General features: G+C 37.7%; 1 annotated feature.

The window, feature by feature from the left end:
• Nucleotides 3,277-3,778: an enhancer, noted in NCBI's record as "H3K4me1 hESC enhancer chr3:166228025-166228526 (GRCh37/hg19 assembly coordinates)". NCBI's record gives its function as "activates a minimal SCP1, AML or CMV promoter by ChIP-STARR-seq in primed H9 embryonic stem cells {active_cell/tissue: H9 hESC(primed)}" and the evidence as "EXISTENCE:reporter gene assay evidence [ECO:0000049][PMID:30033119]".

A 13,851-nucleotide genomic window follows, 5' to 3' on the forward strand; every position in this document is an offset into this window, starting at 1 on the left:
ATTTTTGTGTATTGATTCTGTATCCTGAAACTTTGCTGAAGTTGCTTATCAGATAAGGGAGCTTTGGGGCAGATACTGTGAGATTTTCTAGGTATAGAATCATGTCATCTGCTGACAGGGATAGTTTGACTTCCTTTCTTCCTAATTAGATGTTTTCTATTTTTTTCTCTTGCCTGATTACTCTGGCCAAGGCTTTCAGTGTTTTGTTGAATAAGAATAGTGAGTGAATTACTTTAAGAATTGAGTTTAAAAATTCTATTTTGTCTAACTGCTAAGATTGAAATAGTGCAGTGTTTAAGCATGAAATCTTAGGGAGATAGAAAAAGCTATCCAAAATATAATTTCATTTCTTCTTCTTAAAATGAGCTAAATTTTTAAAATTCAAACATTCATAAACAAACCTAACACTTCAAAGAGTGTCTGAAATGTTAAATTTGATGGAGATAATATCAGTACATGGGAGGAAAAAAACTGAATACCTGCCTTCAAGGGCAACTCCTTACAATATTGTTTGCAGAAGAACTTGGTATTTTTGTTTTCAGTCAACCTTCTCTCTAACTTCATTGTGGAAATCAGAGAACATTATATATAATCATGTTTATCAACCAATGTACAATAGATTTATTTAATAAAAAGGAGCATATAAAACAAAGTTATTTCTAGTAAAATTCTTTTAGGCTTTTTCTATTTTTTGGCAGACAAACCATATGGCTCATGTTGTAGAATAATTTGGTGAGTTGATCCCCATGCTCAAGCTTATGCTTCTTAAGAATTATGATGATGTTTTTTCTAACTTCTAAATATACATTGAAAGTATTTGAAAATTTTGAAAAATTGTAATATTTAAATAAAGTTTCCCGAATTATTTTTTCTCTCTTTTCTTCTATTACCTTTCTCCTTCTACTTCTTTCTATTCTTCTGATAAACTAGGAGTATTAACTTTTAGATAAGTAACCTTTTTAGTAGTAACAGATTTTTTTAAATAATGCAACTGTAATTTTCTTATAACATTAGTGATGTAGTTGTAGCAAGGTCCTGCTGGTTAAATTCTACATATAGAATTCTATGATTCCTCAAATTTGTAGAGAAGGAGAAAAAGTCACTGTCTATGCAAAATGAGCATCAGGATAAGAGCCATTTGATTCATGACAGGTTGTCACTCAATAATAATAATATGGAGAATTAATGACTATATATCTGTATCGATGTCTAATCCATATTCATACACATATCCCTTTTATCTGTCTACTTACTCTGGAGGTAGACTATCTGTGTTTACATATCAAATTAGTAACTCTGTAACTTTTCAAAACTTCAGTTTCTACACAATAATAATATTCTTCACACTAATAATATGACAATTAATGTCTATATATGTATATCACTAATCTATATTCATAAACGTACCTCTTCTATCTATCTACTTACTCTGGAGGTAGACTGTGTTTATATATCAACTATATTCATATACATACCTCTTTTATCTACTTACTCTGGAGGTAGACTATCTGTGTTTATATATCAAATCAGTAACTGTAGCTTTTCAAAACTTTGGTTTCTTTATTTGCAAAAATGAAAAAGAAAATAAAAGATGAATAAAATGAAGAAGAAGAAGATAAAAACGAGAAAATGGGAAAATTATACGGTGTATCTTTAAGTAGTAGCCATCAAATGGGGGTAATCCTGTTCCCCAGAAAATATTTGACAATGACTGGAGATATTTTGGTTGTCATAATGGTTTGGGGCTTGAGATGGGGAATGCTACTGCTAAATAGTGGGTAGAGGCTAGAGATTCTGCTGATAAACATTCTACCACTTATATAAGACCCCCACAAATAATTATCTGGTTCAAAGCATAAATAATGTCTCATTCAAGCATAAAAAAGCCCAGTTAGCTTCTGAGATTAGAGGAGATTGAGCACATTCAACAATAACAAAACAATGATATGAGCTGATGATAGGTTAATTAGCTTAAATGTGGTGATCGTTTTCTTATGTATACATATATCAAAACACAAAGTTGTACACCTTAAATATATACAATTTTTGTCAATCGTTCATTAATAAGCTGACAAAAAGTCCTAGTGTCAAGGTTAAGAAACCCTAGCTTACAAGGGCACATTTTTGATGATATAAAATTAACACTTCTAAAAAAGCTTCTAGTGGTATACTAGAGCCACCTCATACCAGCTTGTGAGATAAGGTTGTTCACATCGCTGCTCAACTTTCATTGAGTGGAAATACATTGGGAGGTTTACATTGACCACACTAGGTGTATTTCCACAACTAAATTTGACAAACTATAAATCAGGTATTCTGCTCCACATACACTGTGTGTCCCCGGAGAGCTGGTTGTTAAACATGTACTATCCTCCATTGCTTAGCACATTGCTTGGTATATTGAAACTACTGTATAAATACTAGCTACTATTATTTTTATGAAGCCCTCTCAAGTAATCTGGAAAAATCACTCTGCATTTTATTTTTTTCTTTCCTTATTGCTTATTTATTATTAAGCTTCCATTTCTCCTGATGATTTTATGATAGACTACTAACTATCCCTAGTTTTAACCAAGTCCTCCTCTATTTTTCATGCTTCAGTAATATTTATTATTGTAAAATGCAAATTTAAACCTGTTACTACCATATTTAATATTTTACAGTGACTTGCCATTTTTTATGGTATTAATCTGACCTCCTTAGTGTAGAATTGTGGGCCTTTTAACCTCATTCCAGAGGGCCCTGCAATTCACAGACCCTTTATTCAGATATATATACACTGGTGACTTCTCTATTGATCTTGTTATATTATATTGTCCTTTCTCTCAGTCAAACTAATTTGAGCTATTATTCAAAGGTAAGGAAAACTAACTCTGTCACCACTTATTGATTCAATATTTTCTCTTACGTATGCCTGGACCTTAGCTTACAAAATGTTAAGGCCAACCATCTTACTCTTTTTGTTCTGGGGAGTGATGCTATATGGGAGAGAAGTGAGCATAGGATGTTACAAATATTTCCTAAGTAAAAACAGGTCACAATACTTAATATATCAAACTTTGGCTGCCTCATATATCACAATTTGAGTATCTTTACATTTTACATTCTACACTCTGAATAGCTCTACCATACATTATATATAATTTACATTATTTCAATTCTTCAGTACATTCCAGAAGCCCAGTAAATGTTACGTATAATAGTTGTCATAGAAGATGGCTGACTAGAAGCAGCAGGATTCGGAGGCTCCCTTCGACAAAAACCATAATAAGCATGTGAACCTTTCACTAGCAACCAAGGTATCCAGGTTCTGTCGTCAAAACTGACATGAAAGCTGGCATGACCCACAGAGAGAAGGAAGAGCAGTGTGGTGTGACCCACCTGAGAGCCACATGGGGAAGGGAAACCCCTTCCTCTCAGCGAAGGGAGGTGGTGAGTGAGTGTGATACCCAGCTGGGGAAACTGTGCAACCCACACGGATGGAAAGATCCCACTCACAAGCCCATGCCACCAGGGCCTAGAGTCCCAACCCCAGAACATGCAGATTCTTACAGCCTTTTAGCTGGAACCTGCTTAAGCCTACCAAACTCCTAGGGGGAGGGGCAACGAGCAACTGCTGCAGCTGCCTGCTGTCTAAGCCATTTGAGCTCCTTGTGGGCGTGGCAGCAGCCAGCACTGGGAATTTCAACTGCCTAACAGGTTAAGGGGTAAGGGGAAGGGCAGTACCATTTTGTATGCTCCCCGGGTAGGGGGAAGGGCAGTACCCATTTTGTATAGCTCCAGACTGTGCTTTTCCCCCTGCTGGAGTCAGGGAGGCTGGATGGCTTGGTCCCAAGCCTTGTTCCCACAGCCCAACACACCCACTGTGGCAGTCTGCAGCCAGAGTGCCTCTTCAGGTCTAACCTTGACCCATCCTTCCTCAGTGGGTAGGGCTTCCTGCTGCAGGATCTCCAATAGCTCCAGAGGTTCAGGGACAGAATTCAGATCTCCCTGGGTCTCAGCCCCTAGCGGGAGGGGTGGCCGCAGTCTCTGTGGACCAGCAGACGTAGCCTCTCCTCCTGGTAGTTCTGAGGAATCTGGGCAGCCCAGATGAGTGGGTTTCCTCACAGTGAAACACACCTTCTCCACCAAGGGACAAAGTGCTTCATTAAATAGGCCATGCTCCCTGTGCCACCCAACTGGGTAAGACCCTCCAATAGGGATTCTCACACACCCTATACAGGAGTGATCCTACTGACATCAGGTTGGTGACCCTTGAAGTCAGAGGTCCCATAAGAAGGAGGAAGCACTCATTTTTGCTGCTTTCCAGCCTCCTTGAGTGACACCTTCAGGCACAAGAGCAAATCAGAGAATGGGGCCTGAAGTGAACCCCCAGAAAACTGTAGCAGCCCTACAGAAGAGGAATCTGATTATTGAAAGAAAAACAAACAAGCAGAAAGTGACAACAGCGTCATCAACAACAACAACAACAACAACAATAAAGGCCCCCACAAAAGCCCCATCCAAGGGTCAGCAACCTCAAAGACCAAAACTAGACAAACTCACGAAGATGAGAAAGAATCAACAAAAAATGCTGAAAACCCAAAAGGCCAGAGTGCCTCTTCTCCTCCAAATGATTACAGGATTACAGTGTCTGTCCATCAAGGATGCAGAACTGGACAGAGGATCAGATGGACGACTTGACAGAAGTAGGCTTCAGAAGATGGGTAATAGAAAACTATGCTGAGCTAAAGGAGCATGTTCCAACCCAATACAAATAAGCTAAGAGCCTTGATAAAATGTTAGACTAATTGCTAACTAGAATAACCAATGAAGAGTGAAACATAAACGACTGGATGGAGCAGAAAAACACAGCATGAGAACTTCGCAAAGCATACACAAGCATCAATAGCCAAATCGACCAAGTGGAAGAAAGGACATCAGAGTTTGAAGACCACCTTACTGAAATAAGACTTGCAGACAAGAACAGAGAAAAAAGAATAAAAAGGAATGAACAAAGCCTCCAAGAAATATGAGACTTCATAAAAAGTACTAAACCTATGATTAATTGGAATACTAGAAGGAGACAGGGAGAATAGAAACAAGTTGGAAAACATAGGTCAGAATATTATCCAGGAAAACTTCCCCAGCCTAGCAAGACAAGTCAACATGCAAATTCAGGAAATACAGAGAACACCATTAAGATACTCCATGAGAAGATCAACCCCAAGACACATAATCATAAGATTCTCCAAGGTTGAACTGAAGGAAAGACTGTTAAGGGCAGCCAGAGAAAAAGGCCAGGTCACCTATAAAGGGAAGCCCATAAGACTAACAGTGGACCTCTCAGCAGAAACTTTATAAGCCAGGAGAGACTGGGGACAACACTCAATATTTTTAAAGAAAATAATTTTTGACCCAGAATTTCCTTTCCAGGCAAACTCAGCTTCACAAGCAAAGGAGAAATAAAATCCTTTCCAGATAAGTAAATGCTGAGGGATTTTGTGACCACCAGGCCTGCCCTGCAAGAGCTCCTGAAAGAATAACTAAATATGGAAAGGAAAACTGGTACTAGCCACTGCAATAACACACCAAAATATAAAGACCAAATGACACTACACAAAACTGCATCAACTAGGGTGCAAAATGACCAAATAGCATCATGATGACAGAATCAGATTCACACGTAACAATATTAACCTTAAATGTAAATGGGCTAAATGCCCCAATTAAAAGACACAGACTGGCAAATTGAATAGAGTCAAGATCCATTGGTGTGCTGCATTCAGGAGAACCATCTTACATGCAAAGACACACACAGGCTAAAATTAAAAAAATGGAGGAAAAGCAAATGGAAAGCAAAAAAAGAGGAGGGGTTGCAATTGTAGTCCCTGACAAAACAGACTTTAAACCAACAATGATCAAAAAAGACAAAGAAGGGCATAATGTAATTGTAATTTGACGAGAAGAGCTAACTATTCTGAATATATATGAACCCAATACAGGAGAACCCAGATTCATGAAACAAGTTATTACAGACCTATAAAGAGACTTAGACTCCCACACGATAGTTGTGGGAGACTTTAACACCCCACTGTCAGTATTAGACAGATCAGCAAGACAGAAAATTAACAAGGTTATTCAGGACTTGTACTCAACTCTGGATCAAGTGGACCTAGTAGACTTCTACAGAACTCTTTATGCCAAATCAACAGAGTATACATTCTTCTCAGGGCCACATGGCACTTATTCTAAAATTGACCACATAATTGGGAGTAAAACACTCCTCAGCAAATGCAAAGGAACTGAAATAATAACAAACAGCCCCTCAGAATACAGTGCAATCAAATTAGAACTCAGGGTTACGAAACTCACTCAAAACCACACAATTTCATGGAAATTGAACAACCTGATCCTGAATGACTCCTGGGTAAATAATGAAACTAAAGCCGAAATCAAGAAGGTCTTTGAAACCAATGGGAACAAAGAGACAACATACCAGAATCTCTGGGACACAGATAAAGCAGTGTTAAGAGGGAAATTTATAGCACTAAATACCCACATCAGAAAGCTGAAAAAATCTCAAATTGACACACTACCATGACAATAAAAAGGGCTAGAGAGGCAAGAGCAAACTAATCCAAAAGTTAGCAGATAAGAAATAAGTAAGATCAGAGAAGAATTGAAAGAGATAGAGACATGAAAAACCTCCAAAAAATTAACACATTCGGAAGCAGTTTTTTTTTTTTTTTTTGAGATGGAGTCTCGCTCTGTCACCCAGGCTGGAGTGCAGTGGCGCCATCTCAGCTCACTGCAAGCTCCGCCTCCTGGGTTCACACCATTCTCCTGCCTCAGCCTCCTGAGTAGCTGGGACTACAGGCACCCGCCACTGCGCCCAGCTAATTTTTTGTATTTTTAGTAGAGATGAGGTTTCACCGTGGTCTCAATCTCCTGACCTTGTGATCCGCCCGCCTCAGCCTCCCAACGTGCTGGGATTACAGGTTTGAGCCACCGCACCCGGCTGGAAGCTGTTTTTTTAAAAAATTTAACAAAATAGATAGATTACTAGCTAGACTAATAAAGAAGAAGAGAGAAAAATCAAATAGACATAATAAAAAATGAAAAACGAGATATCACCACAGATCCCACAGAAATACAAACTACCATCAGAGACTATTATAAATACCTCTATGCAAATAAACTAGAAAATCTAGAAGAAATGGTTAAATTCCTGGATGCATGCACCCTATCAAGGGTTGCATCAACCAGGAAGAAGTTGAACCCTTGAATAAATCAATAACAAGCTATAAAATTGAGGCAGTAATTAATAGCCTACCAATCAAAAGAAAAAACCCAGGACCAGATGGATTTACAGGTGGATTCTACGAGAAATACAAAGAGGAGCTGGTACCATTCTTTCTGAAACTATTTAAAACAATTGAAAAGGAGGGACTCTTCCCTAACCCATTTTATGAAGCCAGCATCATCCTGATACCAAAACCAGGAAGAGATAGAACAAAAAAAGAAAACTTGAGGCCAATATCCATGATGAACAATGATGCACACATTCTCAGTAACATACTGGCAAACTGAATCCATCACCACATCAAAAAACTTATCCACCGTGATCAAGTCAGCTTCATCCCAGGGATGCAAGGCTGGTTCAACATTAGTAAATCAATAAACATAATCCGTCACATAAACAAAACCAAAGACAAAAACCACATGAGTATCTCAAGAAACGGAGAAAACACGTCTGATAAAATTTAATATCCCTTTATGTTAAAAACTCTCAGTAAACTAGGTATTGATGGAACATATCTCAAAATAATAAGAGCTATTTATGACAAACCCACAGCCAATATCATATTGAATGGACAAAATCTGGAAGCATTCCCTCTGAAAACTGGTACAAGAGAAGGATGACCTCTCTCACCACTCCTATTCAATATAGTTTTGGAATTTCTGGCCAGGGCAATCAGTCAAAAGAAAGAAATAAATTGTATTCAAATAGGAAGAGAGAAAGTCAAGCTGTCTCTGTTGGCAGAGGATATGATTTTATATTTAGAAAACCCCATCATCTCAGCCCCAAAACTTCTTGAACCAATAAGCAATTTCAGAAGTCTCAGGATACAAAATCAATGTGCAAAAATCACATGCATTCCTTTACACTGACAACAGACAAGCAGAGAGCCAAATCATGAATGAACTCCCATTCACAATCACTGCAAGGAGAATAAAATACCTAGGAATACAGCTAACAAGGGTTGTGAAGTACCTCTTCAAGGAGAACTACAAACCACTGCTCAAGGAAATAAGAGAGGACACAAACAAATGATAAAACATTACATCCTCATGGATAGGAAGAATCAATATAATGAAAATGGCCACACTGCCCAAAGTAATTTATAGATTCAATGCTATTTCCATCAAATTCCATTGACATTTTTCACAGAATTAGAAAATCTGTTTTAAATTTCATGAAATCTAGGAAGACTTTGAATAGCCAAGACAAACCTAAGCAAAAAGAACAAAGCTGGAGGTATTAAGCTACCTTAATTCAAACTGCACTACAAAGTTACAGTAACAAAAATAACATGGTACTGGGACTAAAACAGATATATTGTCCAATAGAGCAGAACAGAAACCTCAGAAATAACACCACACATCTACACCCATCTGATCGTCAACAAACCTGACAAAAACAAGCAATGGGGAAAGGATCTCCTATTCAGTAAATTGTGCTGGGAAAACTGGCTAGCCATATGCAGAAAACTAAAACTGGACCCCTTCCTTACACCGACACAAAAATTAACTCAAGATGGATTAAACACTTAATTGTAAAACCCAAAACCATAAAAAACCTAGGAGAAAACCTAAGCAATACCATTCAGGACATAGGCATGGGTAGACTTCATGACAAAAATGCCAAAAGCAATTCCAATAAAAGCCAAAATTGAAAAATGAGATCTAATTAAAGACCTTCTACGCAGCAGGTGAAACTATCATCAGTGTGAACAGGCAACCTACAGAATGGGAGAAAATTTTTGCAATTTACCCATCTGACAAAGTTCTAATATACAGAATTTACAAGGAACTTAAACATACCACAAGAAAAAACAAACAACCCCATCAAAAAGTGGGCAAAGGATATGAACAGACACTTCTCAAGACATTTTTGTGGCCAACAAAGGTGAAAAGAAGCTCAACATCACTGATCATCAGAGAAATGCAAATCAAAACCACAATGAGATACCATCTCATGCCAGTCAGACTGGCTATTATTAAAAAGTCAGAAAAAATAGATGCCAGCAAGGCTGCGGAGAAATAGGAATGCTTTTACACTTTTGGTGGGAGTATAAATTAGTTCAACCATTGTGGAAGACAGTATGGTGATTCCTCAAGGATCTAAAAGCAGAAATACCATTTGACCCAGCAATTCTATTACTGTGCTGGGTATATACCCAAAGGAATATGAATCATTCTTTTATAAAGACACATGCACACGTATGTTTATTGCAGCACTATTTACAATAGCAAAGACATGGAACCAACCAAAATGCCCATCAATGGTAGACTGCATAAAGAAAATGTGGTACATATACACCATGGAATACTATGTGGCCATAAAAATGAATGAGATCATGTCCTTTGCAGGGACATGGATGAAGCTGAAAGCCACTATCCTTCGCAAACTAACACAGGAACAGAAAACCAAACACTGCATGTTCTCACTCATAAGTGGGAGCATAACATTGAGAACACATGGACACAGAAAGGGAAACAACACACACCAGGGCCTGTTGTGGGGTGGAGAGTTAGGGGAGGGAATTTAGAGAACAGATCAATAGGTTTAGCAAACCACCGTGGCACATATATACCTATGTAACGAACCTGAACGTTCTGCATATGTATCCTGCTTTTTTTTTTTAGAAGAAATAAAGGGAAAAAAATAGTTGTCATAGAAAAATACTGGATAATTTGTTCATATAAATCTTAACATTATTTGGAATAAATTTTATTTACACTACAGCATTATTATGAAATCTTTATACAACTATCAGTTAATATACAAATTATTTTGAGCAACATTGACCACAAAACAAGGTAAACATATCCACCTACACTTTTAAAAATAGTATGCCTTATGAATTCCCAGCCATAAACATGAAAATACAAAAATAATCATAGACTTATGGAAAATGTTTCTTCCACAGCAGGATTTCACTACTTAGAATTGTTAAAAATGGGCAACATTGAGAGGAAAGCCATAAAAAATGGGGAAAAATAACATAAAAATAAAGATGTGATATCTGAAATTAAATGTCATGATTGAGGGTATTAAAATGTATTGAAGAATACCAGGAATATCTCCTAATTCAGCTCAGCACATGTAGATGGGTGTGCACAATTCCTGGTAAATATTCTATGATTCTCCTCTCTACAATATCTTTCAATTTAACCTTTTAATACAAGTATACCAAAATCAGAGACACATGGTAATCTGTCTTGGTTGGTAACCTAATCATAAGAATGTTTTACAATGGTTACCACGTAAAAAACATACTAAAAGCCTGCACTACCATCTCCAAGAAGCTTATGACTCTCAGTCATGAAAAATTTATTGAGCATCATAAAATGTCAGCATAGATAGGTGGAGAAAGATGGCTGAATAGAAGCCTCCACTGATCATTGTCCCCTCAAGAACACCAAATTGAACAACTCTCCACATTAAAAAACACCTTCATGAGGCCGGGCGAGGTGGCTCACGCCTGTAATCCCAGCACTTTGGAAGGCTGAGGCGGGCAGATCACGAGGTCAGGAGATCGAGGCCATCCTGTCTAACACGGTGAAACCCCGTCTCTACTAAAAATAGAAAAAAACCCAAAAAATTAGCTGGGCGTGGTGGCAGGCGCCTGTAGTCCCAGCTACTCGTGAGACTGAAGCAGGAGAACGGCGTGAACCCAGGAGGCGGAGCTTGCAGTGAGCCGAGATTGCGCCACTGCACTCCAGCCTGGGCCACAGAGTGAGACTCCGTCTCAAAAAAAAAAAAAAAAAAAAAAAAAGCACCTTCATAAGAACTGAAAGTCAGGTAAACAATCAAAGTACCTGGTATTAAGTTCATATTACTGAAAAAGGCACTGAAGAGAATAGGAAATAAAACCTTGAATTGTTCATGCCACCCCTCCCCCAGCCCCCAACACTGGCATCCTGAAACGGAAAGATAATATGCGTTCTTGGGGGAGGGAAAGTGCAGTTACTGTGGGACATTGTATTGGAACTCAGTGCTGCTCTGTCCTAGTGGAAAGCCACATGATGCAATACTCAGCTCATGCCTATGGAAGGAGTATTTAGACCAACCCTAGCCACTGGGAATTGCCCATCCCAGTTGTCAGAACCTGAGTTCTGGTAAGCCTCTCCACCATGGACTAAACTGGTCTGGGGTCCCAAGCAAACATGAAAGGCACTCTAGGCCACAAGGACTGCAATTCCTGGGCAAGTTATATTGCTGGGCTAGGCGCAGAGCCAGTGGACTTGGGAAGCACACAATCCAGTGGGAGACCAGCAGGGGCAGAGAAGGGTGTTTTTCCCTTCTCTGCAAAACCAAGGCAATGTAGCTGAGATCATGCCACTGCACTCCAGCCTGGGCGACAGAGTGAGACTCCGTCTCAAAAAAAAAAAAAAAAAAAAAAAAAACCCTAAAACCATAAAAACCCTAGAAGAAAACCTAGGCAATACCGGACATAGGCATGGGCAAAGATTTCATGACTAAAACACCAAAAGCAGTGGCAACAAAAGGCAAAATTGACAAATGGGATCTAATTATACTAAACAGCTTCTGCACAGCAAAAGAAACTATCATCAGAGTGAACAGGCAACCTACAGAATGGGAGAAAATTTTTGCAATCTATCCATCTAACAACGGGCTAATATCCAGAATGTATAAATACCTTAACAAATTTATATTTACAAGAAAAAAGCAACCCCATCAAAAAGTGGGCAAAGGATATGAAAAGACACTTTTCAAAAGAAGACATTTTTGCCACCAACAAACATATGAAAAAAAACTTATCATCACTGGTCATCAGAGAAATGCAAATCAAAACCACAATGACATACCATCTCACGCCAATTAGAATGGCAATTATTAAAAAGTCAGAAAACAACAGATGCTGGAGAGGATGCAGAGGAATAGGAACACATTACACTGTTGGTGGGAGTGTAAATTAGTTCGACCATTGTGGAAGACAGTATGGCAATTCCTCAAAGATCTAGAACCAGAAATACCATTTGACCCAGCAATCCCATTACTGGGTATATATCCAAAGGATTATAAGTCATTCTTCTATAAAAAGACATGCACACATATGTTTACTGTTCACAATAGCAAAACTTGGAACCAACCCAAATGCCCATCAATGATAGACTGGATAACGAAAAGTTGGCAAATATGCTCCATGGAATACTATGCACCCATAAAAAAGGATGAGTTCATGTCCTTTGTAGGGGCATGGATTAAGCTGGAAACCATGATTCTCAGCAAACTAACACAGGAAAAGAAAACCAAACACCATATGTTCTCATTCATAAGTGGGAGATGGTATCTTATTGTAGATTTTATTTGCATTTTTCTGATGATCAGTGATGTAGAGGACATTTTCATATAACCGCTCAGCATTTTCATGTCTTCTTTCAAGAAATGTCTATTCAGCTCTTTTGCCATTTTAAAAAATTGGATTACTAGAATTGTTTCCTATAGAGTTGTTTGATTTCCTTTTATATTCGATTTATTAATCCATTGTCTGGTGGATACTTTGCAAATATTTTCTCCCATTCTGTGAGTTTTAACTTTTTTGTTTTCTTTGCTATGTAGAAGATTTTTAACTTGACATGATCCCTTTTCTCTATTTTTGCTTTGATTATCTGTATTTTGGTGGTATTACTCAAGAATTCTCGGCCCAGTCTGATGTTCTGGAGAGTTTCCTCAACGTTTTATTTTAGTCATTTCACCCTTTCAGGTCTTAATATTTAGGGCCTTAATGCATTTTGATTTAATTTGTGTATGGCAAGACATATGGGTCTAGTTATATTCTTCTGCTTCAGGATATCCAATTTTCCCAGCACCATTTATTGAAGAAACTGGCCTTTCCACCAATGTGTGTTCTTGGCTCGTTTGTCAAAAATTAGTTCAATGTAGATGATTGGATTTGTTTCTAGGTTTTCTATTCTGTTCCATTGCTCTATTTGTCTGATTTTATGCCCATACCTTGCTGTTTGGGGTACTATAGCTCTGTTCTATAACTTGAAATCAGGTCATTTGAGTCCTCCAGTTTTGTTTTTTTGTTCAGAACACATTTGGCCTCTGCATCTTTTGTGGTTCCACATAAATTTTAGGACTCTTTTTTCTATTTCTTTTAAGAATGACATTGAAACTTTGACAGGCATTACACTGAACCTGTAGATTACATTGGATTGTATGGAAATTTTAACAATATTGATTCTTCCAATTCATGAACATGGACTATATTTCTAATTTTTTGTGTTCTTTGCCCTTCCTTCATCAACATTTTATAGTTTTCATGTGGAGTCCTTCATTTATTTAATTAACTTTATTCCTATGTATTTTTATTTTATTTGTACCTACTGTAAATTGGATTATGTTCTTGATTTGTTTTTAGATTTTTCACTGATGGCATATAAAAATGCTACTGATTTTATACATTGATTTTGTGTCCTACAACTTTATTGAATTTGTCTATCACTTCTAATAGCTTTTTTGGTTGAGTCTTTGAGTTTTTTTAAAATATAAAATAATGTAATCTTCAAACAATGATAATTTTACATATTCCTTTCCCATTTGGATGCCCTTTA

This window comes from Homo sapiens, chromosome 3 (assembly GCF_000001405.40).
Source record: "Homo sapiens chromosome 3, GRCh38.p14 Primary Assembly".
In the NCBI taxonomy this organism is placed as follows: Eukaryota; Metazoa; Chordata; class Mammalia; order Primates; family Hominidae; genus Homo; species Homo sapiens.